Source organism: Homo sapiens, chromosome 11, assembly GCF_000001405.40.
Source record: "Homo sapiens chromosome 11, GRCh38.p14 Primary Assembly".
Lineage (NCBI taxonomy): Eukaryota > Metazoa > Chordata > Mammalia > Primates > Hominidae > Homo > Homo sapiens.
In genome coordinates this window covers 47,563,949-47,589,653 of record NC_000011.10, presented here as the reverse complement: position 1 = coordinate 47,589,653, position 25,705 = coordinate 47,563,949, and the positions used below count along the sequence as shown (strand labels likewise).

The 25,705-nt window shown below is 50.4% G+C and overlaps 5 protein-coding genes and 1 pseudogene across 28 annotated transcripts in view, besides 12 other annotated features; 3 read left to right on the top strand and 3 right to left on the bottom strand.

The window, feature by feature from the left end:
• Positions 246-446: a silencer, noted in NCBI's record as "peak1275 fragment used in MPRA reporter construct". NCBI's record gives its function as "represses an SCP1 promoter by STARR-seq MPRAs in K562 erythroleukemia cells {active_cell/tissue: K562}" and the evidence as "EXISTENCE:reporter gene assay evidence [ECO:0000049][PMID:32103011]".
• FAM180B (family with sequence similarity 180 member B) lies at positions 460-3,003 on the bottom strand. Of its 4 annotated transcripts, none has more exons than NM_001367968.1 (3): positions 2,801-3,003; positions 1,833-1,903; positions 460-1,650 (listed from the first exon to the last, which is right to left on the bottom strand). In NM_001367968.1, the coding sequence occupies exon 3, from the start codon at positions 1,583-1,585 to the stop codon at positions 1,220-1,222; it is 366 nt and encodes a 121-aa protein (NP_001354897.1). In that variant the 5' UTR covers positions 1,586-1,650; positions 1,833-1,903; positions 2,801-3,003; the 3' UTR covers positions 460-1,219. The 4 variants fall into 4 exon arrangements, with proteins under 4 accessions (NP_001354897.1, NP_001157851.1, NP_001354895.1 ...); NM_001164379.3 differs by having other exon boundaries at positions 460-1,615; positions 2,801-2,976; NM_001367966.1 differs by lacking the exon at positions 1,833-1,903.
• Positions 2,071-2,271: a silencer, noted in NCBI's record as "peak1274 fragment used in MPRA reporter construct". NCBI's record gives its function as "represses an SCP1 promoter by STARR-seq MPRAs in K562 erythroleukemia cells {active_cell/tissue: K562}" and the evidence as "EXISTENCE:reporter gene assay evidence [ECO:0000049][PMID:32103011]".
• On the bottom strand, positions 5,092-10,580 carry NDUFS3 (NADH:ubiquinone oxidoreductase core subunit S3). Its single transcript, NM_004551.3, has 7 exons — positions 10,496-10,580; positions 10,320-10,385; positions 9,032-9,129; positions 8,670-8,819; positions 7,441-7,566; positions 7,186-7,305; positions 5,092-5,340 (listed from the first exon to the last, which is right to left on the bottom strand). The coding sequence occupies exons 1-7, from the start codon at positions 10,560-10,562 to the stop codon at positions 5,173-5,175; spliced, it is 795 nt and encodes a 264-aa protein (NP_004542.1). The 5' UTR covers positions 10,563-10,580; the 3' UTR covers positions 5,092-5,172.
• Positions 8,848-9,065: a silencer, noted in NCBI's record as "fragment chr11:47602141-47602358 (GRCh37/hg19 assembly coordinates)". NCBI's record gives its function as "represses an EF-1alpha promoter that drives an FKBP-Casp9 reporter gene in an ReSE screen in HepG2 liver carcinoma cells {active_cell/tissue: HepG2}" and the evidence as "EXISTENCE:reporter gene assay evidence [ECO:0000049][PMID:32094911]".
• Positions 9,807-10,465: an enhancer, noted in NCBI's record as "NANOG-H3K27ac-H3K4me1 hESC enhancer chr11:47600741-47601399 (GRCh37/hg19 assembly coordinates)". NCBI's record gives its function as "activates a minimal SCP1, AML or CMV promoter by ChIP-STARR-seq in primed H9 embryonic stem cells {active_cell/tissue: H9 hESC(primed)}" and the evidence as "EXISTENCE:reporter gene assay evidence [ECO:0000049][PMID:30033119]".
• Positions 10,466-11,125: an enhancer, noted in NCBI's record as "NANOG-H3K27ac-H3K4me1 hESC enhancer chr11:47600081-47600740 (GRCh37/hg19 assembly coordinates)". NCBI's record gives its function as "activates a minimal SCP1, AML or CMV promoter by ChIP-STARR-seq in primed H9 embryonic stem cells {active_cell/tissue: H9 hESC(primed)}" and the evidence as "EXISTENCE:reporter gene assay evidence [ECO:0000049][PMID:30033119]".
• Positions 10,534-10,773: an enhancer, noted in NCBI's record as "active region_4700". NCBI's record gives its function as "activates an Ori minimal core promoter by ATAC-STARR-seq in GM12878 lymphoblastoid cells {active_cell/tissue: GM12878}" and the evidence as "EXISTENCE:reporter gene assay evidence [ECO:0000049][PMID:35858748]".
• On the top strand, positions 10,684-17,457 carry KBTBD4 (kelch repeat and BTB domain containing 4). 12 transcript variants are annotated; one of them, NM_001318721.2, is made up of 4 exons: positions 10,684-10,721; positions 11,630-12,243; positions 13,955-14,061; positions 15,864-17,457. In NM_001318721.2, exons 2-4 carry the CDS (start codon positions 11,655-11,657, stop codon positions 16,722-16,724), a joined length of 1,557 nt encoding a protein of 518 aa, NP_001305650.1. In that variant the 5' UTR covers positions 10,684-10,721; positions 11,630-11,654; the 3' UTR covers positions 16,725-17,457. The 12 variants fall into 12 exon arrangements, with proteins under 12 accessions (NP_001305650.1, NP_060565.4, NP_001305648.1 ...); NM_018095.6 differs by having other exon boundaries at positions 11,626-12,243; NM_001318719.2 differs by having other exon boundaries at positions 11,599-12,243.
• RNU5E-10P (RNA, U5E small nuclear 10, pseudogene) lies at positions 13,066-13,183 on the top strand (annotated as a pseudogene).
• Positions 13,516-13,696: a silencer, noted in NCBI's record as "fragment chr11:47597510-47597690 (GRCh37/hg19 assembly coordinates)". NCBI's record gives its function as "represses an EF-1alpha promoter that drives an FKBP-Casp9 reporter gene in an ReSE screen in phorbol 12-myristate 13-acetate-treated (for megakaryocytic differentiation) K562 erythroleukemia cells {active_cell/tissue: K562(+PMA)}" and the evidence as "EXISTENCE:reporter gene assay evidence [ECO:0000049][PMID:32094911]".
• Positions 16,193-24,055, bottom strand: PTPMT1 (protein tyrosine phosphatase mitochondrial 1). Of its 2 annotated transcripts, NM_175732.3 has the most exons (4): positions 23,858-24,055; positions 23,668-23,748; positions 19,763-19,954; positions 16,193-18,183 (listed from the first exon to the last, which is right to left on the bottom strand). In NM_175732.3, the coding sequence occupies exons 1-4, from the start codon at positions 24,029-24,031 to the stop codon at positions 18,025-18,027; spliced, it is 606 nt and encodes a 201-aa protein (NP_783859.1). In that variant the 5' UTR covers positions 24,032-24,055; the 3' UTR covers positions 16,193-18,024. The 2 variants fall into 2 exon arrangements, with proteins under 2 accessions (NP_783859.1, NP_001137456.1); NM_001143984.2 differs by lacking the exon at positions 19,763-19,954 and having other exon boundaries at positions 23,668-24,055.
• Positions 23,543-24,043: an enhancer, noted in NCBI's record as "H3K27ac hESC enhancer chr11:47587163-47587663 (GRCh37/hg19 assembly coordinates)". NCBI's record gives its function as "activates a minimal SCP1, AML or CMV promoter by ChIP-STARR-seq in naive H9 embryonic stem cells {active_cell/tissue: H9 hESC(naive)}" and the evidence as "EXISTENCE:reporter gene assay evidence [ECO:0000049][PMID:30033119]".
• Positions 23,543-24,544: a biological region, named in NCBI's record as "H3K27ac hESC enhancers GRCh37_chr11:47586662-47587162 and GRCh37_chr11:47587163-47587663".
• Positions 23,544-23,623: a silencer, noted in NCBI's record as "silent region_3335". NCBI's record gives its function as "represses an Ori minimal core promoter by ATAC-STARR-seq in GM12878 lymphoblastoid cells {active_cell/tissue: GM12878}" and the evidence as "EXISTENCE:reporter gene assay evidence [ECO:0000049][PMID:35858748]".
• Positions 23,754-24,233: a silencer, noted in NCBI's record as "silent region_3334". NCBI's record gives its function as "represses an Ori minimal core promoter by ATAC-STARR-seq in GM12878 lymphoblastoid cells {active_cell/tissue: GM12878}" and the evidence as "EXISTENCE:reporter gene assay evidence [ECO:0000049][PMID:35858748]".
• Positions 24,044-24,544: an enhancer, noted in NCBI's record as "H3K27ac hESC enhancer chr11:47586662-47587162 (GRCh37/hg19 assembly coordinates)". NCBI's record gives its function as "activates a minimal SCP1, AML or CMV promoter by ChIP-STARR-seq in naive H9 embryonic stem cells {active_cell/tissue: H9 hESC(naive)}" and the evidence as "EXISTENCE:reporter gene assay evidence [ECO:0000049][PMID:30033119]".
• Positions 24,115-25,705, top strand: part of CELF1 (CUGBP Elav-like family member 1) — a 99,603-nt gene continuing 98,012 nt past the window's right edge. For all 9 annotated transcript variants that reach the window (NM_001376443.1, NM_001376422.1, NM_001376419.1 and 6 more), the window contains exon 1: positions 24,115-24,380. The gene's annotated coding sequence lies outside the window, so the exon portion shown is untranslated. The remainder of the gene's footprint in view (positions 24,381-25,705) is intronic.

The window sequence follows — 25,705 nt, the reverse complement described above, 5'->3', positions numbered from 1 at the left end:
TCTTGACTGCGACGCATTCGCCGGCGGCAGGCGGGAAGGTGCTGACTACTGCGGGCCCGCAGGCCCGGGGAAGGGGTTGGAGGTTGGAAAGCAAGGTCCCCTTGGACCCTGGGAGGGTGAGGAGGTGGGAATTTGATGGAACCACATTCGCCTAGTCCGTTGGGGGCCTCCCTTTTATATCCCTACCTCGTCTAGCCCTCTGACTCATCATTGACCTACGACCTCAGCCTTAGCCCCCGGCTGATGCCTTTCTGTGACAAGGAACAGCACCCCATTACCCCACAGGGTGCATGGGATTCAAGGAAACAGTGCATTCCTTCTTCCAGCAGGGCGTGGGAATGAGATGAGGAGTTGATACCTGGTTGCCCTGACTCTTGCCTTCCCGGGATGGGGAGAGTGATTTGCCCAGAGCAGGGGTTAGACGCTTATTCCGACATAGAATGACACAGGCTCCAGGAGGCCGAAACAGAACATTTTATGAGAAGAGCAACACAGAATCAGGGCCACACCTGCTCCAGCCCACCTCCGCTTGTCTCTCCTTGGTCTCCCAGCCTTACTCCCCCCTCTGAGGTATTCACCCGACGCTTGTTGAGATATTGCCTCCCTACCCCAAAAGAGATAATGTTCCTCCCTCCCCCTGCTTCCCTCCACTCTTCCAACTGACAGAACTCAAAAAGTCGATTCTCCCAACCCAGATGGGAACTTGGAGGCTCAGAGACCCCAAATCCTTGGTTGTGCCTAAAAGGGGATGCTCAGCACCTAGAGGATTCCTGTGAATTCCACAGGACCTGTCACAGACTGCCAGGGTAGGAGTTGGAAGGTCTGACCAGGCCTTACTTGGGGCAGCTTCCCTTCAGCATCTCTTGAACACACTTCTCAACCCTGACCCCTGATCTCCACACACACACACACACACACACACACACACACACACTCACACACACACTGCCTGCAAGTCGTGCCCTTAGCTCTGTGCCCACTCCTTGCGCACTCCTTGCGACCCAGAGCCTGGGTTCTTAGCCTCTCAAGATCTAGGAAACAAGATCTGGTCGGGGTAAGCAGAGAGGGGGTGTCCAGGGTGCAAGCCAAGCCCAGAGATCTGAACACGGTGAAAAGAATCAGATGCCAGACAGAAGCCCCTGCGCAAGATGGGTCTGCCTGGGGGGTTGAGGAGGAGATGGGAGGGGGTAATGGCAGGTGAAAGAACAAAAGAGGAGGGTCAGGGGAAGGGGTCAAGGATGGAGGCCCAGGACCCCAGGGAAGGGGGCCGGTCCTGGGGGCAGAAACCTTTGCACAGGTCCCAGAGTGTTTCCTGTGCCAGGAGAGCGAAGACCTGGGCCCAGCGGCCCCGTTCCTCAGCCTCACTAGCTGCGTGGAGCCGGTAGACGCAGGACAGGCCTGTGAGGAGCAGATGTTCAAAGTCCCAAGTGCTAAGAGGAGGCCCCTTCCGCAGGTCCTGGAGCTGCTGCAGCCACTGCTCAGTGCCCTCCAAGTCACTGGGCACGTGGTGCTGCAGGAGGAGTCTGAGTCGGCGGCCTGGGTGTGTGGACGCTAGTTCCTCATCCTGGATGTGCAGCTGCCCCATGACATCCAGCTCCAGCCCAGCCCAGAGCAGCTGCAAGGGGAGCCATGTAAGGGGTGGGCTGTGGCCTGGGGAGCAGGGCAGGGAGCAAGAGTGGGCTGGGGGAAGGGGCAGAAGCAGGCAGCAGGACGCATGCTGGCTTGCCCCACCCAACCCTAGCAGGTCCACCCTGAGACATCCCCCTTCCCAACCCTGAGCTTAGGGACCTCTGGACGTGCCCACCCCCATGTCCCAGGCTGGGAGGAAAGACCTCAAACATCACTTCCGGGGCCTCTGGCTCCTGCAGGCCACCTCCCACGCTGGTGCTGTCCATGGGCTGCCCTGGGGCAGCAGAGAGGAGTCAGGCCCCTGCCATGCTACACCATGAACACCCCAGCCTCCCAGAAGTGCCCCTCTGCTGCCTGGTAGAGGTCCCGAGTGCTTCATCATTCTACAAAAGGGCAGGAATGCCATCCCATGCCCTCCTTTCCCCTCCCTCTCACGCACACACATGCACATTGACATTCACCCTCCCAGGCATAGGTCCTCTGATCTCAAAAGCATCATTCCAAGCCCAGTTACCATGTTGGCAAATGCCCAGGACACCTCCTTTAAATTGCACAATGCCCTTGTTAAAGAGCTCCAGGCCAACGGGTCACAAGACCCTTCCCCACCCTCCTCCCCTCCCTATAGTCATCTGAGGATAAAGTCACCTAAAACAGTGCCAGTGACTCTCCCAAGGACAAAGACCTCTTTGGAAAGAGCCTACTCTCCCTGCTCCTCCTCAGCAGTAAGGGAGGGAGGAGGAAGACAGGGCAGGGAGGACAGAGCAGGGGAGGATGTGAGGCAGGGAGGACGGGGCAGGGGAGGATGTGAGGCAGGGAGGACAGAGCAGGGGAGGATGTCTGTGGCAGCTCCGTCCGGCCCACACCTTGGGGTGTTGCCTCACCCTTGCAATGTTTGTTCCAAGCCCAGGCAGGTCAAGAGACCCTGCTTTGGGCATCAGTGGGAATGAGCCCAGGGCCAGCATTAAGAGCACCTAGGGCTATCTCCCTAGGTGTCACCTGTACCTTTCCAGTTCTGGGGGTGGGGCCCACACTGTCACCCACCACAGCACACATCAGCCTGGTACCCACCATGCCCACGCTTCTATGCCCGACTAGCCTCAAATAGAGCCAACTGTTAACTGCTGTCAGCCAGCAGCCTTGGCTCCTCTCCACCCACCCTGAAGCCTGGTACCTGCATGGGGCTGGGTTGTAGTCACACCAGAGAGGAGACAAATGGCTACCACCAGGCAAACCAGGAACTGCAGGGTCGCAGCCATGCTCAACCACGTCCTCTGAGTCTCACTCTGTTCAGCAGTTCTCTGCTCCCTCATCTGCCTGCCACACACCTCAGCTCCAACTTTCCACTGCGGGCTGCTCCAGAGCTCTGTAATGCGTGTCATTCTTCAGTGCTGAACAGGGAGGGGCTGGCTGTGGCCTCGGTCACCTCCCAGGGGCTCTTTCCATCCTTTAGAAATGGGGAATCTTTGGTTGTTGGCAGGAGCCTGGCTCCCTGCTTGTCAGGCCCTCAGCCTGTTCCTGCCCAGCTGGGCGGTATGCTTAGTTAATAGGAAAAAGGTGTTTGGTAGCAAATAGCTGTAGCTTGGCCCTCCCAAAGGGTAGGAAAGAGCTCAGGCAGTAAGACCATCTTACTGTCTGCGCCCTCAAAATATCCTGCGACTGAGGCCAGCCCCGACACCCAGTCTGGCCCAGCCCAGCCTCCAAGGAGCCCCTCAGCTGCCAAAAGCATCAGCTGCAAAGTCTTCCAACTGCATGGTGGGCTGGCTGGGCGGCCCCACAGACAGGCAGAGCCAAGCACTCCCCTCTCAGGCACTCTGCCGCAGGCTGGACAGACAGATCAGCTGGGCTAGGGCGTATTGTCCCCTGGCAGACAGACAAATCTGCAGCTCCTGAGTGGTTTTTGCCCCAGCCCTGGGACCTCTTGTTTCCTAGCAACATTCTTAATTCAGAGCGGGCACGGTGGCTCATGCCTGTAATCCCAGCACTTTAGGAGGGCAAGACAGGAGGATGGCTTGAGCCCAGGAGTTCAAGACCAGCCTGGGCAACATGGTGAGCCCTCATCTCTACAAATAAATTAGCTGGGTATGGTGGTACACACCTGTGGTCCTAGCTACTCAGGAGGCTGAGGTGGGAGGATCACCTGAGCCCAGGCAGTCTAGACTGCAGTGAACCACGATCACACTGCTGTACTCACTCTAGCCTAGGTGACAGACCAAGACCCTGTCTCAAAAAACCCCCACCAGCCTGGCGCGGTGGCTCACGCCTGTAATCCCAGCACTCTGGGAGGCCGAGGCGGGCAGATCACCTGAGGTCGGGAGTTTGAGACCAGCCTGACCAACATGGAGAAACCCCATCTCTACTAAAAATACAAAATTGGCCGGGCGTGGTGGCGCAAGCCTGTAATCCCAGCTACTCGGGAGGCTGAGGCAGAGTTGCTTGAACCCGGGAGGCGGCGGTCACAGTGAACCAAGATCATGCCATTGCACTCCAGCCTGTGCAACAATAGCAAAACTCCATCTCAAAAAAAAAAAAAAAAGAAGAAGAAAAAAAGAACCCCACCATTCTCAGCTCAGGCCAGAAACCAGGGAGATTCCTGTAGCCCAAGAGTGATTGGCTACCATGCCACACCCATCCTGAACCCTGTGGACTGTGAGAACTTTCAGTTACAGCTCCAGAATCCCTCTCAGAAATACATCCATGCCTGCAGGCCACCACGTCTGCAACTACACTCTTTAGTCCCATTAAAATAGACCTCCGGCTGAGTGTGGTGGCTCACGCCTATAATCCCAGCACTTTGGGAGGCCAGTGTGGATCATTTGAGGCCAGGAGTTCGAGACCAGCCTGGGCAACATGGTGAAATCCCATCTCTACAAAAACTATAAAAACTAGCTGGGCGTGGTGGCGTGCATCTGTAATCCCAGCTTCTTGGGAGGCTGAGGGGGGAGAACCGCTTGGGCCTGGGAGGTGGAGGTTGCAGCGAGCTGCGACAGCACCACTGCACTCCAGCCTGGGTGACAGAGCGAGACTCCATCTCAAAAAAACATAAAAGAGCTGGTCACAGTGGCTCACGCCTATAATTCCAGCACTTTGGGAGGCCGAAGCAGACAGATCACCTGAGGTCAGGAGTTCAAGAACAGCCTGACCAATATGGAGAAACCCCGTCTTTACTAAAAATACAAAATTAGCCAGGTGTGGTGGCACACACCTGTAATCCCAGCTACTCGGGAGGCTGAGGCAAGAGAATTACTTGAACCCAGGAGGCGGAGGTTGTGGTGAGCCGAGATCACGCCATTGTACTCCAGCCTCGGCAACAAGAGCGAAACACTGTCTCAAAAAAAAAAAAAAAAACCCATCAAAGACTCCCTGGTTTAGTAGTGCCTCTCTAAGAGAGCAGGGAAACACCCCTGCCTGCCTGTGTCCCCCCCAAAGCATCACTTCTCCACATTACAAGCACACACAAAGTGGTAAGTCTAAGTAGGAATTTATTTACACGGACACTCAATCATAGATAAGGCGCTGTCTAGGATCCACATGCGTTCCCTGGAGCTACTTGGCATCAGGCTTCTTGTCTCCGGCTTCAAGCTTGAGACTCTCCGGGGGTTGGCGATAGACTGGGAAAGCCTCCCAGGGGCTGTTCAGGTCAAATTTGCGGAACTCTTGGGCCAACTCCACCGGCTCTGCCACCACCCGCTTCACTTCATCATCATAACGTAACTGCAGGAGCAAAAGGCAGGCTTGAGCACTAAGGAAGTCCTTATTATAGCTACACAGGAGCCTACTTTTCACAAGGCTATTGGTGACTTCCCCAGCCCATTCCTCTCGGTTACTGACTCCTGTCCCAGCCTCTGTCAGTAAGTCTCCATCCATACCTGTGTTACCCGTCAGATCACATCCCAACCAGCTAGAGTGTGTGATTCCAAAATGTAGGATACCTCTCATGCCCTGCCAGCACCAGTCAGATTCCCCTGCTCACCACTCCCACATCAGGAGCTCCGAACTGACTGCTCACCCACCCACACACTCTTACAAGGTAATGGTAAGCATTTGCCCAGGATTAGGGAGTAGTCGGTGGCTGAAAAGAGTAAACCTAAACTGGCAGATACACAACCTCAGGCCCGGTGCCCTTGGCATATTCACAGTCCAGATCTAAAGCAGTACATTTGACACAGCTTTTCTTGTTACTTGGGGATCAAATGGATAAGGTAAGGATCATCAGGTGCTAGAGTGAAGAGGCAAACCAGGTGAGGCAGATAGCAGGAGTGGGGTGAAAGGGAGAAGCGAGGGAGATAGCCCTGCCCAGAAGTAGCCCAAGAGGGAAATAGGAGCATGCAAAGCACTAACACAGCAGGAGTGACTGGGAACTAAAAGAGCAGGGCTGGAGCACCACATCTCTGCATTTCTAAACAGTTACTTTGCTATAAAATTCACGAGTGATAATATTACACACTATCTTCCTGCAAATAACCTGCAGCACCACTGAAATTCTTTATTCACGTTACTGGTCCCACCTCAGAGGTAATTTTTGAGGGCTAAGCATCTGGTGTCTTCCCCGTCACTGCCTTCCCAGAGAGTCAGGGCAGGGTAAAATAATCCTCTACTTTCAGGTTTTAGGGACAGACTGTGTCGTCAAGGCTGCCTTGATCATTAAAATGATCATTACAATAATGGATAACACTGGCCAGGTGTGGTGGCTCACACCTGTAATCCCAGCACTTTTGAGAAGCTGAGGCGGGCAGATGACTTGAGCCCAGGAATTCGAGACCAGTTTGGGCAACATGGAGAAACCCCGTCTCTACAAAAAATACAAAAATTTGCTGGGCATGTTGGTGCATGCCTGTAGTCCCAGCTACTCGGAGGGCTGAGAGGTGGGAGGATTACTTGAGCCTGGGCGGTCAAGACTGCAGTGAGCCATGATCGCACCACTGCACTCCATCCTAGGTGACAAGAGTGAGACCCTGACACACACACACACACACAGCATCAATTGAGCCTTTACAATACAGCAGGCTTCATACATCATTTATTTATTTAGAGACAGGGTCTCACTCTGTTGCCCAGGCTGGAGAGCAGTGGCGTGATCTCGGCTCACTGCAACCTCCGCCTTCTAGGCTCAAGCGATCCTCCCACCTCAGCCTCTTGAGCAGCCAGGACCACAGGAATGCACCACCATGCCCCGTTAATTTTTCTATTTTTTTGTAGAGAAGAGGTTTCACCATGTTGCCTAGGCTGTTCTCGAACTCCTGGACTCAAGCACTCCTCCTGTCTTGGCTTCCCAAAGTGCTGGGATTACAGGCGTGAGCCTACACATACATTATTTAATGCCAGCCACAAATCTATTAAAGTGCTATTATTATTGCCATTTTAAGATGAGAAAACTGAGTTACAGTCAAACCAAGTAACTTGCCCCAGGTTACAAAAATGAAGCTAGGATCTGAATCCAGGGCCCATGCTCTTAAACCACCACAATCCACAGACCGTATTTCTTGCCATTCCCAGGGATCCCCTGGGTTCTCTGCAAGTCCCTCCCTGAGGCTGCTGTCCCAGTTCCAAGGCTCCTACCTCAACATAGCCAGATAGAGGAAAGTCTTTCCGGAAAGGATGTCCCTCGAAGCCATAATCTGTCAGGATCCTTCTTAGATCAGGGTGGTTAGCAAAGAAGACTCCAAACATGTCCCAGATCTAGGAAAGAGACCACCTCAAACAGCCAATCCATCAAGACTAACAACAGGGGGAAGGGGCTACACTGCATCCCGTAGTCTGAACCAGTTCTGCAACTGTGGCCCAGAGGCAGGTCCACCATATCCGGTAACTCACCTCCCTTTCATACCAGTTGGCTGCCTTGAACACAGAGACAGCAGACTCAATGGGCGTCAGCTCATCTGTGTAGGTCTTCACACGGATCCGTGAGTTGAAGCGCAGAGACAACAGGTTGTAGACAATCTAGGGAGAACAGAAGGATCTGGAGGGCTGAGATGGGAGTCCCTGATTGGGAGAGTTCTGCCCTGTGACCCTGCCTTCTATTCTGAACCTCAAAACCTCAAGATTCTCCTATGCTTACAACTACTTCCAAAGGCCCAGGCCACAGCTGTAGCTTAGCATGTCAGCATGCCTGTGTTTGCTCATGCTATTCACTTTGTCAGGAATATTTCCCTGGTCCATCTCACAAGGCTACCTGGTCTCCTACTCATATTTTAGATTCAGCACAAACATTCTCTCTTTTCAAAGAAGCCTCCCAGACAGGGCCAAGTGCCCCTCCTGCTTTCTTAAAGCATCCCTCTAATATCCTTTGTATTATATGTTACTACAGTAAGCTGTTTAGGTGTCTTTCTCCTTCACTAGAGTGTAGGGGACTCCTGGAGGACAAATACTTCATGTTATTTCTCTCTCCATCCCAGAGTCTGGCAAACAGTAGATAATCAGTAAAATATTAATAGCTAAATGTATTGAAAACACTGTGTGCAAGCAATTTACTTGAACTATCTCATTGGATCCTTATAACCATTCTATAAGATAAGGACAGCTTTATATTTATTTTCCCGGTAAGAAAATGAAAGCTCAGAAAGATTAAACAAGGGCCGGGCATGGTGGCTCATGCCTGTAATCCCAGCACTTTGGGAGGCCAAGGCAGGCAGATCACGAGGTCAGGAAATTGAGACCATCCTGGCCAACATGGTGAAACCCAGTCTTCACTAAAAAAATACAAAAAATTAGCCGGGCGTGGTGGCATGCACCTGTAGTCCCAGCTACTCAAGGGGCTGAGGCAGGGGAATCGCTTGAACCTGGGAGACGGAGGTTGCAGTGAGCCAAGATCATGCCACTGCACTCCAGCCTGGCGACAGAGCAAGATTCCGTCTAAAAAAAAAAAAAATTAAACAAAATATTTGAGTTATCTGAGGTCCCACAGCCATTTAGTGGCAGAACCAAGATCCAACTTCAGATCTACTTGACTCTGAAGTTCCAGTTTAACTGCTGTGTTCTATTGTATGTTACAAACTGAAATTAATATCCTTACCCCCAAAACCTTCTCAGATCTCCCAACTGACCTCAAAACGGTTTTGCCGAGTTGGGACGTCCACTGCTGTCAAGTCAACCAGAGATTTGAACTGTGCATTGGTGTGATCCCTGAGGAAAGTCAGCACTGGGATGACGCCATCAGGATGGATACAGACCTCTAACTCATTGAAGCAGGACACCTGCACACATGAAAGTGAGGGGAGAGGGAACAAAGAGCTACTGAGGGAACAGCTAACTTCAGCTGGAGTCACCTGGTTTAATGCTGAGAGAAAAGTCCAAGCTTGGGATGGAGGAATCTGTAGTTTCTTTGAAACAAGTCTGCCCACTCCCACATGCCCTGCGAACATGGTTCTTTCTTGACCCAGACCCAAATAACATTAGTAAGTATTACCTGAACTTGTTGGACATACTTGGGCAAGATTTCAGCCACATACTCTCCAAAAGCTGAGAGCTGCTTGTGGGCCACATCATTCCGTGGTCTGACAGTGGCTGGAAGGAAAAGGCATATTTAAAAAAGAAATGGAGAAGGCAAAAGCCAGCCCTGCATGCAGTCTCTTAGGCTTGTAAGGGATGTCAAATCCAGGAAAGGCTCCCTGAAGCACCTTGAGAAAGGTGCATGTGAAAGGTTTCCCTTCTAGGGAATACAGTGATGAAAACTTGGGGAAAGTGCCACCTTAACTACACGGTCCTCAGAAAGACTCTTACTATAGCAGCTGGGGTGTTCACCTCTTCTCAAAATTACTCCACAGTTCTTCCCTCACATTGCCTGCATTTCTGCTAAAGCAGTAGTCTCAGTTCTCCTGTCAGACTAAGAGCTGTTTGAGGATGGGAACTGAACTTTTGCCTCTCTGTAGCTCCTTAGCACGCAAGTTTATACCAGGTTCTCAAGCTAAGAACTTCAGGGCTTGAAGATCCCTCACAGACTCTCTCTCTCCTTAAAAGTGTGTGTGTGTGTGTGTGTCAATGAGAAAACTGAGGCCCAGGTGTGTGTGTGTGTGTGTGTGTGTGTGTGTGTGTGTGTGTGTGTGTCAATGAGAAAACCCAGGAAAGGAGAAATGCCAGGTCTCCTAACTCCCAGTCCGTGTATCTTGACTGTAACATAATATGTACATACTCATTCATGCAACCCTAAACCACTGAGCAATCACACATCACAAGCTACAGAATAATGGTTAGGTGTTTCTGCCTCTGGCAGCAGGCAGGCCTACTTTGTCATTCACTAGGTCTTTGACCCTGGGCAGTTTAATTCTTTGGACTGTTTCCTGATCTATAGTAAGAAGAGTAAGATGCTATCTACCCCATAAGGCTGTTGTGAGGACGAAATAAGATCATTCACTAAAACGCTTAGCGAGGTTCCAGGCACACATTAAGCACTCAATTAACGCTAGGTACTATTATTACAGGGCTCTGAGGCCTAAAGGTTATATTGCTTGCTTTCAAAGAGCTGACAGTTTAATCAGACAAAAAGGGGATGATTGAAATGGACAAGGAACAATCAGGGCCATAACAGGCCTAAGGGCACAGGGAGGGCTCGATTCTGCATGCAGGGTGAAGACCACTGCAAGTCAGATCTCCAAGATTTGCCAGGAGGACGTAGGGAAGGGCATCCTAGGGCAAGGACAGGCATCTAAGGGGCCCCGCCGATAGTTCAGAGAAGAGCGCTGCCCGCACATACTCACGGCGCGTGTCGGCCCCGGCGCTCTCCCGCCTCACCGGCAGCAACAGAACGGAGGGTCGCCCAGTCCCTGCACAGGGAGATAAAAGGCACAGACGCGCGGGATGAGCCCTGAGGAGCTCTCTGCACTGGGCACGCCGCTGCGCCTGACCCCGGTCTCAGCTGGCTGCCCGTGCTCACCCCTGGTCAGCGCCGAGGCCCCCAAGATCCCGCGCCACCACAGCCTGGCTACCGCCGCCGCCGCCATGTTACTCAGATGCAGACTAGGCAGCGGACGGAAAGACAGCAGGACACGGAGCCCCAAGGGCACGGACCGGAAACGGAAGTGTGCAGCAGATCTTCTTCCGGGCGGACGTGGAGCCGGAAGCGGAGGTTCCGGGCTCCGGGATGAAAGGAGGGAACGCAGGTGAGAAAGCGAGACAGGCAGGTAGGGAAATCGTGAGGTGAGCGTGGTCCTAGCTCCTTGTGGCAGAGCCTAGAGAGAAGGCGAGGACGCTGAAGAACCAGGCGGGTGAGAGGAGGGGAGGGGGCGGGCGTTTTGGGTTCTACGCTACACACCCCTCCCCCGCTCTCTGAGCCAAGCTTTTGACGAGGGCGGGCGGGCCTGAGCGGGAAGAACGGTTTCCCTGGCGACCGTTTCCAAGACGACTCAAGGTGGAGCGGGGACATTGCACAGGGTGATGGGCCTCCCAGTGCCCCGGCCTGGGGGCGGATGGACTCAAGTTCTGGGACGCAGCCATAGGGAGTCTTTCGAGCGAGCGGGGAAGTGTGGGGGAAGCAGCTCAGAAGAGAGCAAATGTAAGACCCACGGATATCCCAGGCTAGGCTTCATATGGAGCGTCTTAACTCCATGCGCTGGGAAGGAGAGGACCTGGCCACTAGGCCGGGGCCAGGGGTCCTTTTTGTCTGATTCTACTGCCCCTGAGCTTCACTAGTTTTATGCCCCAGTTATTTGGTTAGTAAGGCTTTTACGATCACAGGCCTCTCCCAGCCCTTTGCTTTCATATATTGACCTAAATCCCAAGTCTTTTGTTAACATTATGGAAAGGAATTATTCCGTGTTTTCTCAGGAAAACACCCAGAGTTGGAACTTTTATTTATATCATTAGCGGAGGGGCGCCACTGGGGATAACGAACCCAGATTTGGTTAAAGGATAGCGTCAGGGACATCATGGACAGGGCCAGGACTAAGGCCAATCTGGACCCACTTTGCTCTCACTTCTTCCTTTTCCCTCCCTGAGTTGGACAGTTGGATTCACAGACTATGGCTGTGAATTCCTCAGGTTACTCAAGATGGTGTTGCTTTGCAGACAGCTGGCAGAGAGAGAAGTTGGCTAGCATGGAATCACCAGAGGAGCCTGGAGCATCCATGGATGAGAACTACTTTGTGAACTACACTTTCAAAGATCGGTCACATTCAGGCCGTGTGGCTCAAGGCATCATGAAACTGTGTCTAGAGGAGGAGCTCTTTGCTGATGTCACCATTTCGGTGGAAGGCCGGGAGTTTCAGCTCCATCGGCTGGTCCTCTCAGCTCAGAGCTGCTTCTTCCGATCCATGTTCACTTCCAACCTGAAGGAGGCCCACAACCGGGTGATTGTGCTGCAGGATGTCAGCGAGTCTGTTTTCCAGCTCCTGGTTGATTATATCTACCATGGGACTGTGAAACTTCGAGCTGAGGAGTTGCAGGAAATTTATGAGGTGTCAGACATGTATCAGCTGACATCTCTCTTTGAGGAATGCTCTCGGTTTTTGGCCCGCACAGTGCAAGTGGGAAACTGCCTTCAGGTGATGTGGCTGGCAGATCGGCACAGTGATCCTGAGCTCTATACGGCTGCCAAGCACTGTGCCAAGACCCACCTGGCCCAGCTGCAGAATACAGAGGAATTTCTCCACTTGCCCCACCGCTTACTCACAGATATCATCTCGGGTAAGTTTAGGGAGGGGACACACCATACCCAGTTACTTGGCTATGATGTTCAGTGAATGTTCTAGTTTAGGAGAAAAGAACCCTCAAGCTTCCTGGTGTTAGTTTACATTATTATTCCTGCATTCTTACTGAGATAACCTGCTGAGAAAGATTGAGGTGAGATTCAGTGTAATTGCTGTCAGAGACACAGTGCGTTAGAGGAAGAAGTCAGGAAAATTAAAGCACAACATTTAACCACACAGAGTAGTGAGGAGTGATTTGTATTATACTCTAATTTATCCTGTACTTCGTATGTCCCAGTGGGTCTAATTACCTATGTAAATTGGTGATGGGGCAAGATATCTAAGACTAAAAACTTTTTTAGTGATGGGCCAACGTTAGGAAACAATCCTAACCTTGCAAGTGAGATATAGCCATACTTAAGGTGTGAGGTTGGCCAGGCATGGTGGCTCACACCTGTAATCCCAACACTTTGGGAGGCCGAGGTGGGTGGATCACCTGAGGTCAGGAGTTCAAGACCACCCTGGCCAACATGGCGAAATCCCGTCTCCACAAAAAATACAAAAATTAGCTGGGCATGGTGGCTTGCACCTGTAGTCTCAGCTACTTGGGAAGGCTGAGGCAGGAGAATCACTTGAACCCGGAGGCAGAGGTTGCAGTGAGCCAAGATCACGCCACCGCACTCCAGCCTGGGCGACAGAGCAAGATTCCATCTCAAAAAAAAAAAAAAAAATGGTGTGAGCTCTGTAGCTTAGTAGGTTGCTTCCATGGCAGATGGGAAAATATCGAGTCATCCATTTTGATTTTAAAAAAGCAAGGCACATACTCTGGTTTCTCTTCAGATTGTATAAATCTTTTACCTTTTACTAAAGATTTCCATGGAGAGGAACGGTTATGAGTCTTTACCCAACTTTTTGAGGGCTCATGTAACACATGAGACTATCTTTAAAAAAGAGCAAGGTACGGGCCAGGCGCAGTGGCTCACGCCTGTAATCCCAGCACTTTGGGAGGCCGAGGCGGGCAGATCACGAGGTCAGATCAAGGCCATCCTGGCTAACATGGTGAAAGTACAAAAAATTACCTGGGCATGGTGGCAGGCGCCTGTAGACCCAGCTACTCGGGAGGCTGAGGCAGGAGAATGGCGTGAACCCGGGAGGTGGAGCTTGCAGTGAGCCGAGATCACGCCACTGCACTCCAGCCTGGGCAACAGTGCAAGACTCCATCTCAAAAAAAAAAAAAAAAAAAAAAAAAAGCAAGACCCGCCAGGCATGGTGGCTCATGCCTGTAATCCCAGCACTTTGGGAGGCCAAGGAGGGAGGATCCCTTGATGGCAGGAGTTTGAGACCAGCCTGGACAACAGTGAGACCTTGTCTATACAGAAAATAAGAAAATTAGCCAGGCGTGGTGGTGCACACCTGTAGTCCCAGCTACTTGGGAGGCTGAAACAGGATTGCTTGAGCCCAGGAGGTTGAGGCTATGGTGATGGTGATTGCGCCATTGCACTTCTGCCTGAGCGACAGGGTGAGACCCTGCCTCAAAAAAAAAAAAAAAGCAATTTTAGGTTAATTTCATGTATATGTGTATGTATGCATGTACACATATACACATGCCCAGCAGTAGTCTAATAAAGTGGTTCACATCTTTAAAGTCCCTTACTCTGAATTTCTCTTTCGGATTGTCATTGACCATGCCTTTCCTCTGGCTCTCACAGATGGAGTTCCGTGTTCTCAGAACCCAACAGAGGCAATAGAAGCCTGGATCAACTTTAATAAAGAGGAAAGAGAGGCTTTTGCAGAGTCACTCAGGACAAGCTTGAAGGTAAGGCAAATCTCTTAATTGTTGAGACTGCATACTCTCCATGCATTCTTGCCATCAGTTAATTTGGCCTCTTTTTTTTTTTTTTTGAGATGGAGTCTTGCTCTGTCGTCCAGGCTGGAGTGCAGTGGCGCAATCTCGGCTCACTGCAAGCTCCGCCTCCCGGGTTCACACCATTCTCCTGCCTCAGCCTCCCTAGTAGCTGGGACTACAGGTGCCCACCACCACGCCCGGCTAATTTTTGTATTTTTAGTAGAGACAGGGTTTCATCGTGTTAGCCAGGATGCTCTCGATCTCCTGACCTCGTGATCCGCCCGCCTCCGCCTCCCAAAGTGCTGGGATTACAGGCATGAGCCCCCGCGCCCGGCCTTTTTTTTTTTTTTTTTAAGACGGATTCTCACTTTGTTGCCCAGGCTGGAATGCAGTGGTGCAATCTCAGCTCGCTGCAACCTCCACTTCCCAGTTTCAGGCTATTTTCCTGCCTTAGCCTCCCAAGTAGGTGGGATTACAGGTGCTGCCACCACGCCTAATTTTTGTATTTTTAGTAGAGATGGGGTTTCACCATGTTGGCCAGGCTGGTCTGGAACTCCTGATCTCAGATAGTCTGCCTGCCTCTGCCTCCCAAAATGCTGGGATTACAGGTGTGAGCCACTGTGCCTGGCCTAACCTGGCCTCTTTGTGTGTCTGTGTGTGAGAGAGAGAGATGGGAGTTTCGCTCTTGTTGCCCAGGCTAGAGAGAGAGAGATGGAGTTTCGCTCTTGTTGCCCAGGCTAGAGTGCGATGGTGCGATCTCGGCTCACTGCAACCTCTACCTCCTGGGTTCAAGCGATTTTTCTGCCTCAGCCTCCCGAGTAGCTGAGATTTCAGGCGCCCACGACCACGCCCAGATAATTGTTGTATTTTTAGTAGAGATGGGTTTCACCATGTTGGCCAAACTGGTCTCGAACTCCTGACCTCAGGTGATCCACCCACCTTGGCCTCCCAGAGTCTTGGGATTACAGGCATGAGCCAATGCGCCTGGCCTAACCTGGCCTCTTTTTGATGGCCAGATTATGAATGGTCGTCTCTGTTTTTTGTTTTGTTTTGTTTGTTTGTTTTTGAGACAGAGTCTTACTCCGTCTCCCAGGCTGGAGTGCAATGGCATGATCTCAGCTCACTGCAACCTCCGCCTCTCAAATTCAAGCAATTCTTCTGTCTCAGCCTCCCGAGTAGCTGGGACTACAGGTGCATACCACCACGCCCGGCTAATTTTTGTATTTTTAGTAGAGACAGGGTTTCACCATATTGGTCAGGCTGGTCTCGAACTCTTGAGCTTAGGTGATCTGCCCACCTCGGCCTCCCAAAGTGCTGAGATGACAGGTGTGAGCCACTGTGCCCGGCCATCTCTTGTTTTTTTAATTTTTTGTATTTATTTATTTATTTTTGAATAAGTTATCTCTGGCTTGAAGTTGATATGAGCTGGGGAGAAGGATGTCTTTGTAACCCCAGTACCACCAATCTATGAGCTTTCAAAGTTCCTTGAGAACTACTGTCATCAAGTTAACAATCTTAATCACCCTTTGTCTGAAGCACTAGCTTATGAGAGTTTTTTAAAAGCTACAAGGATGAATACAACAGATTCTCCGCCCGGCATAAATTGCCTCAAAGAAAGTGACTAGAGGAGAGTTGGATGCCATACAGTAATTAGAGAGTAGTATGATAAAGCTAGGAACAAGTGTGAGGGCCAGGATCTTAAGGATATGTGTCTTAGCTGAGCCTTAGCCTAGAATTTAACAGCTGTCATATAATTTTAATTTTGCCAATAGGAAATTGGGGAGAATGTGCACATTTACCTGATTGGGAAAGAGTCATCTCGTACCCACTCGTTGGCTGTGTCCTTGCACTGTGCAGAAGATGACTCCATCAGTGTAAGTGGCCAAAACAGTTTGTGCCACCAGATCACTGCGGCCTGCAAGCATGGTGGAGACTTGTATGTGGTGGGAGGGTCCATCCCACGGCGCATGTGGAAGTGCAACAATGCCACCGTTGACTGGGAGTGGTGTGCTCCTTTGCCTCGGGACCGGCTCCAGCACACCCTGGTGTCTGTGCCCGGGAAAGATGCCATATATTCACTGGGTGGCAAGACACTGCAAGATACCCTCTCCAACGCAGTCATTTATTATCGCGTAGGTGATAATGTGTGGACAGAGACAACTCAGCTAGAGGTGGCTGTGTCAGGGGCTGCTGGTGCCAACCTCAACGGGATCATCTACTTACTAGGGGGGGAGGAGAATGATCTGGACTTCTTTACCAAACCTTCCCGACTCATCCAGTGCTTTGACACAGAGACAGACAAATGCCATGTGAAGCCCTATGTGCTGCCCTTTGCAGGCCGCATGCACGCAGCTGTGCATAAAGATCTGGTGTTCATCGTGGCTGAAGGGGACTCCCTGGTGTGCTACAATCCCTTGCTAGACAGCTTCACCCGGCTTTGCCTTCCTGAGGCCTGGAGCTCTGCCCCATCCCTCTGGAAGATTGCCAGCTGTAACGGGAGCATCTATGTCTTCCGGGACCGATATAAAAAGGGGGATGCCAACACCTACAAGCTTGACCCTGCCACTTCAGCCGTAACTGTCACAAGAGGTATTAAGGTGCTGCTTACCAATTTGCAGTTTGTGTTGGCCTAAGGCTGTGGGGAGGGGAGGAGAACTGCTCACTCCTTTTCCCTCCCCATACAAACTCAAAGTCCCCTGGGCCCCAATTCAGAGTTATGTTTTTTTTGGCACATACTAGAAAGGCAGTGCCTCAGCCCTTCCCTGAATCCATGGAGGTGTTCTGTTTGGGGCTTTTTAGACTGCTGCTGCTCAGCTGGTTGCTTGAACTGACAGTAGGCCAGCCTGTTCTCTGCCATTCCCTAGTCATCCTGTGCCTCACCACAGCTTGCTTAGAGCAAGCCTTTTCTCAGACCTTAGGCACAGCCTCTCCTCTTTACCTGATCAATGTTAAATGTAAGCACCCCTGATCCCAGGACATAAGGAAAGATGCCCAATTGTACTTTTGTTCTATAGCCTGTGAAATGGCTAGTTGATCATTTTTCCACAAAGAATTAGGTGTTAAGAGTTTTCCTTCAGGCTTTACTTAGGAGAATGGACTAAGCTGAAGGTGTACTTCACCAGCAAGAGTCAACTCTAGAATTCAGGATGTTCCTTCTATTGTTTTCTTATCCATCTGTCAGGAAATGTAACTTTGGTTTTATTTTTGGCTTATTCCAAGGGGTAAGCCAGAAAATAGAAATGATTATTTCTGATTAATAGCAGAAACTTTTTCAATCTCAAATATATAAGGTGTCTGCTCTTTTAAAAGCTCTAAGCTAAGTCAAGAGCTAGGAACTGTTGATACAAATAAAAGTTTTTGAAGGGATATGTGTGTCTGTGTTGAATTCCAAAGGGGTGACTTTGAAGGGGTGAGGGTGTTTCATTCCCTCAGGGGAACTCATTACGTACCATCACATGGCTCAGTCTGCAGCAGTCCTGACTGCAGCCCATGCTCCCACTTCTCCAGATAGGATCCCTACTCCACAGGGCCAGTGAGATTCAGATTCTGACAGTGGCAAAGAGCCAGAGGTGAGTCTCCTTTTTTCAAGTGCTAAATGTTTTTTGAGTTGTGGTGCTAAATATTATTAGGCACAATATTAGGTACATAATAGATTTTTGTTAAAATACTTCTTTAGCCCTATTCAAGAAAAGATGATAGCCCCATCCCTGTCCTGTATCCCATGAATACAAGCCACACTAAATCTTTTCCTTTCTAGCCACACAACAGTGTTATTTCAAGAAAACAAAACAAGTCAGAGAAAGAAAAATTACCTATTACCTATTGGCACATTTCTGTTACGTCAAGTCTGGGCTTAAGCCCTGTTGGTCCTGTTAAGCTCTTTTTGTTCTGTATCAAGCAGGAGTGTCTTGAGTTCTTTCTAATCCCCATACATCATGTCTTTGAAATGACAAAAGTCCCATCCTTTGTTGCCCGTGCAGTAATCTGCTTGTGGAACTCTTTAAGAACATCCAGCTGGCCAGGCCTGATGTGGATGTATGACCGGATCTTGGCGATGGCTCTTACAGCCTCCTCTGGACTCCATTTGTGCACCTGAAGTACAGGGTTGGGAAATCAGCAGAGAAAGAAAGAAGCAGGTGTCAAGGTGCCCTTGACCCATGAGCAGGTGCTAAAGGACTCTGAGATTTCATTTCTTTGGAAACTCTATTTTGCAGGCATTAAAAATCATGCTGCTTGTATTATAAATGGGAGAGTACTGTAACCACTGCAGTCAGCCAGTCTCACAATACTATGCAACAGGTCAGGTGGAAAGTCAGTCTTTCTACCCAATTCTTGCTCTGCCAAATCCTAGAAAAAGGAAGTTGCACATGGGAAGCTGAGATCCTAAGTTCAAGACTGCCTCAGCCTACTCCACGTCCTCTCCGAGCTGGGCTTTTGGTTACAAGAATTTCTAGGAACGAGTATGCAATAGATGTTTTTATGCAACTTGTCACCATGGCTAGAAAAACAAGTAACTCATAATTTAAATAGGAGGGTTAACATGTCCTAAGGATACTCATTGGTTTAGAACTCAACAGAACCAAGAAAATACAGATTTCTAACTTGCTAGTTCAATTCTCACTTGGTGCAAAATACCCTCCTGAGACCCTGCTTCCAGCAGAGCCCTTATGACCAAAATTTTAATATTACTCAACTATATACACACTAGTCCACAGTAACACAAGGCCAGACTTAGCTATTCACATGACTTAGAAAATGCTCTGTGGGAGCCAGACATTTTGTAACTTAGGTTACAAAATGATGATGGACTACAGGGTATTTGTTTCTCCTAAATATTTTTAAAGCATCCCACCTGCCAATTATGACACATTAATAGGCAGAATCCAGTTTGGAGCCTGTTTCCAGAAACTAATATCCAGAACTTTACTCTGGAATACTTGAAGAAACTTGAGTACTATAAAGCTGAAAATGATCAGCACTATTATCTATGATATTGTTTCCTGACATGGTATTAGAACAAGTGTCTAGCCTTTTGCTGGGGTTGAATGGCTTTTGCAACTCCGTTTTTAGAGTGCCCGCTATAGGCCAGCACTTGATGTAATTTCTTATTTAAACTTCATAATACATTTAGTTTGAGAAAACATGTTGCATAAGGCAGAAGTCACTTTTGCTGATCCTCACTGGCAGGCAGCAGAGCCCCAGGTTACCCTGTCACAAGGCTCAGGTGCTTTCCATCATACCAAACCACCTCCCAACAGCCTGAAATCAAGCACACAGCTCCTTCCAACAAGGCCCACCAGTAGACCATGCTATTGAAGTTCTGGAAATCTGCTATAAATGGGACCAGAAAGACTTTTTTTTTTTTTTTTTTTTTTTGAGACAGTTTCACTCTGTTGGCTATGCTGCAGTGCAGTGGCACAAATCACGGCTCACTGCAGCCTCTACCTACTGGGCTCCGGTGATCCATCTCAGCCTCCCAAGTAGCTGGGACTACAGGTGCACACCACCACACTGAGCTAACTTGTTGTATTTTTTGTAGAGACGGTTTTGCCATGTTGCCCAGGCTGGTCTCAAACTCCTGGGCTCAAGCCATCCTCCCATCTCAAGCCTCCCAAAGTGCTGGGATCATAAGTGTGTACCACGATGCCCAGCCCAGAAAGAACTTTGGTACCTGAATCAGGTATGCTGCCACCATAGTGGCACTCCTGGAGCGCCCAGCCTTACAATGCACGTAAACACACTGGCCCAGCGACTGGTACTTGAGAGCAAATTGGACTCCCTTCTGGAGGTTGTCCAAGGTGGGGATCCCAGTCATGTCTACTGTGCTGAGCCGCAGCTGCTCGACTCCTAGTCTCTTCCACTCCTGGAACCAGGTCCACCAGTATGAAAAAGAGAATGAAAAAAAACTATGTGGGTGGGATGATAAGGGGCTCCCAAGAAGCAGCAAAGCAACAAGGAAGTTTCAGGGTTTACTACAATGGGAATACACTGTTGCCTGTTTTCTAAAATAGAAACTTCTTACAGAAATGCTTTTTTTTCCCATTCCAGGTGAGGACAGAAATGTCTTTAAAATGGCTGGCCTACATGGTTGGTTTTTCATCAAGCAACAGCTATGCTGCTGAGTTAGAATTATGTCCAAGATTTAAAGTGTTCCTTTTTTTTTTTTTTTTTTTTTTAAAGACAGAGTCTCGCTCTGTTGCCCAGGCTGTAGTACAGTGGCGTGATCTCAGCTCACCACAACCTCCACCTCCCAGTTTCAAGCGATTCTCCTGCCTCAGCCTCCCGAGTAGCTGGGACTACAGGCACGCGCCACCAAGCCTGGCTAATTTTTGCATTTTTAGTAGAGACGGGGTTTCATCATGTTGGCCAGGCTGGTCTCGAACTCCTGACCTCAGGTCATCCGCCTGCCTCAGCCTCCCAAAGTGCTGGGATTACAGGTGTGAGCCACCACACCAGCAGGTAAAGTGTTCTTAAACTACCCTTTGGGTACTTGAATATTTAGCTGCAAGATATTAGCTATATACATTTTAGCTGCAAAAAATTCAGCTGCAAACGTCTTAACATTTTATTTTGGCCGGGCATGGTGGCTCACGCCTGTAATCCCAACAGTTTGCAAGGCCAAGGCGGGCAGATCACCTAAGGTCAGGAGTTTGAGACCAGCCTGGCTAACATGGGGAAACCCTGTCTCTACTAAAAATACAAAAATTAGCCATGCGTGGTGGTGGATGCCTGTGATCCCAGCTACTAGGGAGGCTGAGGCAGGAGAATTGTTTAACCCTGGAGGGAGAGGTTGCAGTGAGCAGAGATCGCACCATTGTACTCCAGCCTGGGAGACAAGAGCAAAACAACATCTCAAAAATATATATATATTTTATTTTAGAGACACGATCTTGCTATGTCACCCAGGTCAGAGAGCAGTGGTATGCAATCATGGCTCCTTGCAGCCTCAAACTCCTAAGCTCAAGCAGTCCTCCCACCTCAGCCTCCCAAGTAGCTGTGACTACAGCTGCATGCCACTGTGCCTGGCTAATTTTGTTATTTTTGTGTGTGTGCAGATGGGGGTCTCGCTATGTTGCCCAGGCTGGTCTCAATCTCCTAGCCTCAAGCCATCCTCCTGTCTCAGCCTCCCAAAATGCTGGGATTACAGGCATGAGCCACCAGGCCCAGCCAGTGTAATTTTTTTGCATAATTTTGGCACCTGTGTAGTGATTCAGCTGCAGATTTGGGGTACAATATTTTGCCAAGGCTTTCTATTTCTCTGTCCATAAGTCTCTTTTTTACCACTGTTTTTTGAGGGAACATATGGTAGAAAATAGGGTTATCATTTTAAAATTAAAACAATGGGCCGGGCATGGTGGCTCATGCCTGTAATCCCAGCACTTTGGGAGGCCAAGGCGGGCGGATCACGAGGTCAGGAGATTTAGACCATCCTGGCTAACACGGTGAAACCCCGTCTCTACTAAAAATACAAAAAAATTAGCCGGGCATGGTGGCAGGCGCCTGTAGTCCCAGCTACTTGGGAGGCTGAGGCAGGAGAATGGCATGAACCCAGGAGGCGGAGCTTGCAGTGAGCCGAGATCGTGCCACTGCACTTCCAGCCTAGGCGACAGAGCAAGACTCCGTCTCAAAAACAAAAACAAAAATAAAATTAAAACAATGCACTGACCTTCATTAGTGCAATGTTATCACTTAGAAGAAATAGGTGGCCAGGTGTGGTGGCTCACGCCTGTAATCCCAGATTTTGAGAGGCCAAGGTGGGCAGATCACCTGAGGTCAGGAGTTCGAGACGACTTTGGCCAGCATGGCAAAACCCTATCTCCATAAAAAATACAAAAATTAGCCAGGCATGCTGGCAGGCACCTGTAATTCCAGCTACTTGGGAGGCTGAGGCAGGAGAATCACTTGAACTGGGAGGCAGAGGTTGCAGTGAGCTGAGATTGCACCATTGCACTCCAGCCTGGGCAAGGGAGTGAGACTCCATCTCAAAAAAAAAAAAAAAAAAAGAAAAGAAATAGAAATAAGGTCTCTGGCAACTGGGCAAACTTTATGCTTTAAGACTTCAGATATGCTCCAGCTACTCTTGTTATTAACCTCTTAATAATGAGTATCAGAGACTTTATGGTTCTAAATGAAGATCAGTAATTCTTTTTTTTTTTTGAGACGGAGACTCACTCTGTCGCCCAGGCTGGCGTGCAGTGGTGCAATCTCGGCCCACTGCAACTTCTGCCTCCCGGGTTCAAGCGATTCTCCTGCCTCAGCCTCCCAAGTAGCTAGGATTACAGGCGCCTGCCACCACGCCCGGCTAATTTTTTTGTGTGATTTTAGTACAGACGGGGTTTCACCATTTTGGCCAGGCTGATCTCAAACTCCTGACCTCAGGTGATCCACCCACCTCAGCCTCCCAAAGTGCTGGGATTACAGGTGTGAGAGCCACCACGCCTGGCCAAGTCACAAATATTTTCAAGGTTTCAAAAAAATCCTCAGGTTGAAATAATAGTATCTTCATCATGCTATATCAGTAAAACAAATGAGAAAGATAATTGTTTAGTGCTATTAGATGCCAAACGCTATAAAGATAGGGCAACATTAAAAAAAAATCAAATAGCTCAGATTGTAGATAACATCTTCTAATAACCATTGTGGAAGATTCCACAAACAGGCCAGTCACATTTAATGAAAGTTATGTTTTAGGCCTAAACTTTGTTATGAGAGAACTTTGGAGTTCCACCATGATTTCTAATATATGACTAAAAATTCCCCCAAATCAGAGCCAAATGAACTCTACAGTTTTCAATGGATAGTTTTATGAAAAATCTGGGGAGGGGAGAGTGTTAAGGGGGTGCTTTTCGTCTTACAGTTGGCAGGGCCTTCATCTGGAATCCCTAACACTGGGAATGCTGACCCATACTCAGAGCTCAAAGTATAGAAAGAATGAATGAAATCAGGAAGGCATGGGAAAGTTGCCTTTCAATTTTAGTTTCTGATTTTGGTTACCGAAATAAGAATACATTACATTTGTTCACAAAGGAGAAATCAGGCTTTGTCAACTTCCACTTTTTTTTTTTTTTTTTTTGAGACATTGTTTCACTCCTGTCGCCCAAGGCTGGGCTGGAATGCAATGGCGAGATGTCGGCTCACTGCAACCTCCACCTCCCGGGCTAAAGTGATTCTCCTGCCTTAGCCTCCCAAGTAGCTGGGAGTACAGGCGCACGCCACCACTCCCGGCTACTTTTTGTATTTTTGTAGGGACGGGGGCCTCGCCATGTTGCCCAGGCTGGTCAGGAACTCCTGGGCTCAAGTGATCTGCCCGCCTCCTCCTCCCGCCTCCCAAAGTGCTGGGATTACAGGCGTGAGTCCCCGCGCCCGGCCCAACTTGAACTTTTAAATAAACGCCTTTCACAGCTTCTAGCCTACCTCCAGGTGCCATTTAGAGGCACAGACCGGAGGCAAAGCAGCTTGAGACACCTGGCTCCGGTGCATGGTGACCTCCCCCACACTTCTCTAGCCGTCCCAGGCTCAGGGCGGTGGGCGAGGGGGAGCGGGCCCCCGAGCCTGCCCCTCGGCCCGGTCCCTCACCTGTGAAGAGTTGCACAGGAACCTCGTCTCGTACTCCTCGTTCATGGTGATCACCCCGCGCACGTTCTCGTCCTGTACCAGCTGCCGAGGCAAAGAGGTGGCTCAGCAAAGACGGTGGAGACCCCAGCGGCCCGACAGGGACGGAGCGGCGGGGACGGGGCAGGGGCCCGGGCTCCCCGGCCCGGCTCACCTGGCGCGTCAAGCTCCGCAACGGCAGCGCGCCCAGCAGCACGGTGGGGTCGATGCGGTGGTACCAGTCCCGGTGCGCCCGACCCGGCACCTTCCCGCGGAACAGGGTGTAGAGCAGCGTCGGGTAGAAGAGCACCCGCGCCAGGCCGGCCTCCAGCAGCGCGGTGGCCGCCATCCCGGCCCGGCGCAGCGGCGACCCGTCGGCCCCCGCGCTCGCGGTCCGGACCCGCGAGAAGAGCAGGCGGGTGCCGGGGCGGGGCTGCCAGCTGCACTAGGCCTCTCGCGGGCTCGCACCGGGTGACGGCGGGGACTGGCCTGGACTCTGGGGGACTGGCGGGACTCTGGAGGAGGGCCCGGCGGCCTCGGAGGAGGGACCGAGGTTTCCTGGGCGGGAAACTGGGACCCCGGCGAAGGGAGAGCGCGTCGCAGGCCAGACACGTGTGAGCCCTGTAGCGTGGGAAACTGAGGCCCCCGCCTGTGGCCGGTGACCTCCCTCCTCCGAGGGAGGGGGGTTGTGACCCCAGGTGAGAGGGGCAGGAAGGACCCCTGCGTGTGGAACTGTGACTCCGGCCGAGGGAGGAGGGGACACTCCCCCCAACCCTCGACCAGAGGAAGGGGGCAGTGACCCAGGTGCGGGTGTGACCCCGCCAAAGGGAAGACAAGACAAGGAGAGGCTGTGTGGCGGGGTAGCCCTGAAGAGGACAGTGGAAGGGCTTAGAGCTTTCAAACAGAGGAGCTACCTGGGTGAGGGCCTGATCCCAGGGTGAACAGGGGTCCTGGGTTGAGGTCGCCTTCCTCCTCCCCTCCCCTGTCCTAGGGCAGGGCTCCCTCCTTCATCTGACCAAACAGCAGTGTTTACATAGCAGGAAAAAATAGGAAAATATACATTATATTAATATATCCTTAAGAAAAATATTATGAAGAGCTCAAATATAAAACCTGCAACCTACAAAAAGGTAAGAAGAATGGTTGTAATGCCAGCTATTTACTTTTTGTTTGTTTGTTTTGAGACGGAGTCTCACTCTGTTGCCCAGGCTAGAGGGCAGTCGCAAGATCTCAGCTCACTGCAACCTCCGCCTCCCGGGTTCAAACGATTCTCCTGCCTCAGCCTCCTGAGTAGCTGGGATTACAGGTGCATGCCACCACACCCAGCTAACTTTTGTTTTTAGTAGAGACGAGGTTTCACCTTGTCAGCCAGGCTGGTCTCGAACCTAAGGTGATCCGCCCACCTCAGCCTCCCAAAGTGCTGGCATTACAGGCATGAGCCACTGCACCCGGCCCAAGCATCTGGTGGAGTTTTTGTTTTTTGTTTTTTGTTTTTGAGACAGAGTTTCACTATTGTCACCCAAGCTGCAGTGCAATGGCGTGATCTCAGCACACTGCAACCTCTGCCTCCCAGGTTCAAGCAATTCTCCTGCCTCAGCCTCCCGAGTAGCTGGGATTACAGGTACATGTCACCACGCCCAGCTAAGTTTTGTATTTTTAGTGAGATGGCTTCAACATGTTGACCAGGCTGGTCTCAAACTCCTGACCTCAGGTGATCCATCCCCCTGGCCTCCCAAAGTGCCAGGATTACAGGCATGAGCCACCGCGCCCGGCTTTCTTTTTTTTTTTTTTTTTTTTTTTGTATTTTTAGTAGAGATGGGGTTTCACCATGTTGGCCAGGCTAGTCTTGAACTCCTGACCTATGGTGATCTGCCAGCCTCAGCCTCCCAAAGTGTTGGGATTACAGGCATGAGCCACACGCCCGGCCCAAGCATCTGGTGGAGATTTTGTTTGTTTGTTTGTTTTTAAGATAGAGTTTCACTCTTGTCACCCAAGCTGGAGTGCAATGGCGTGATCTCAGCTC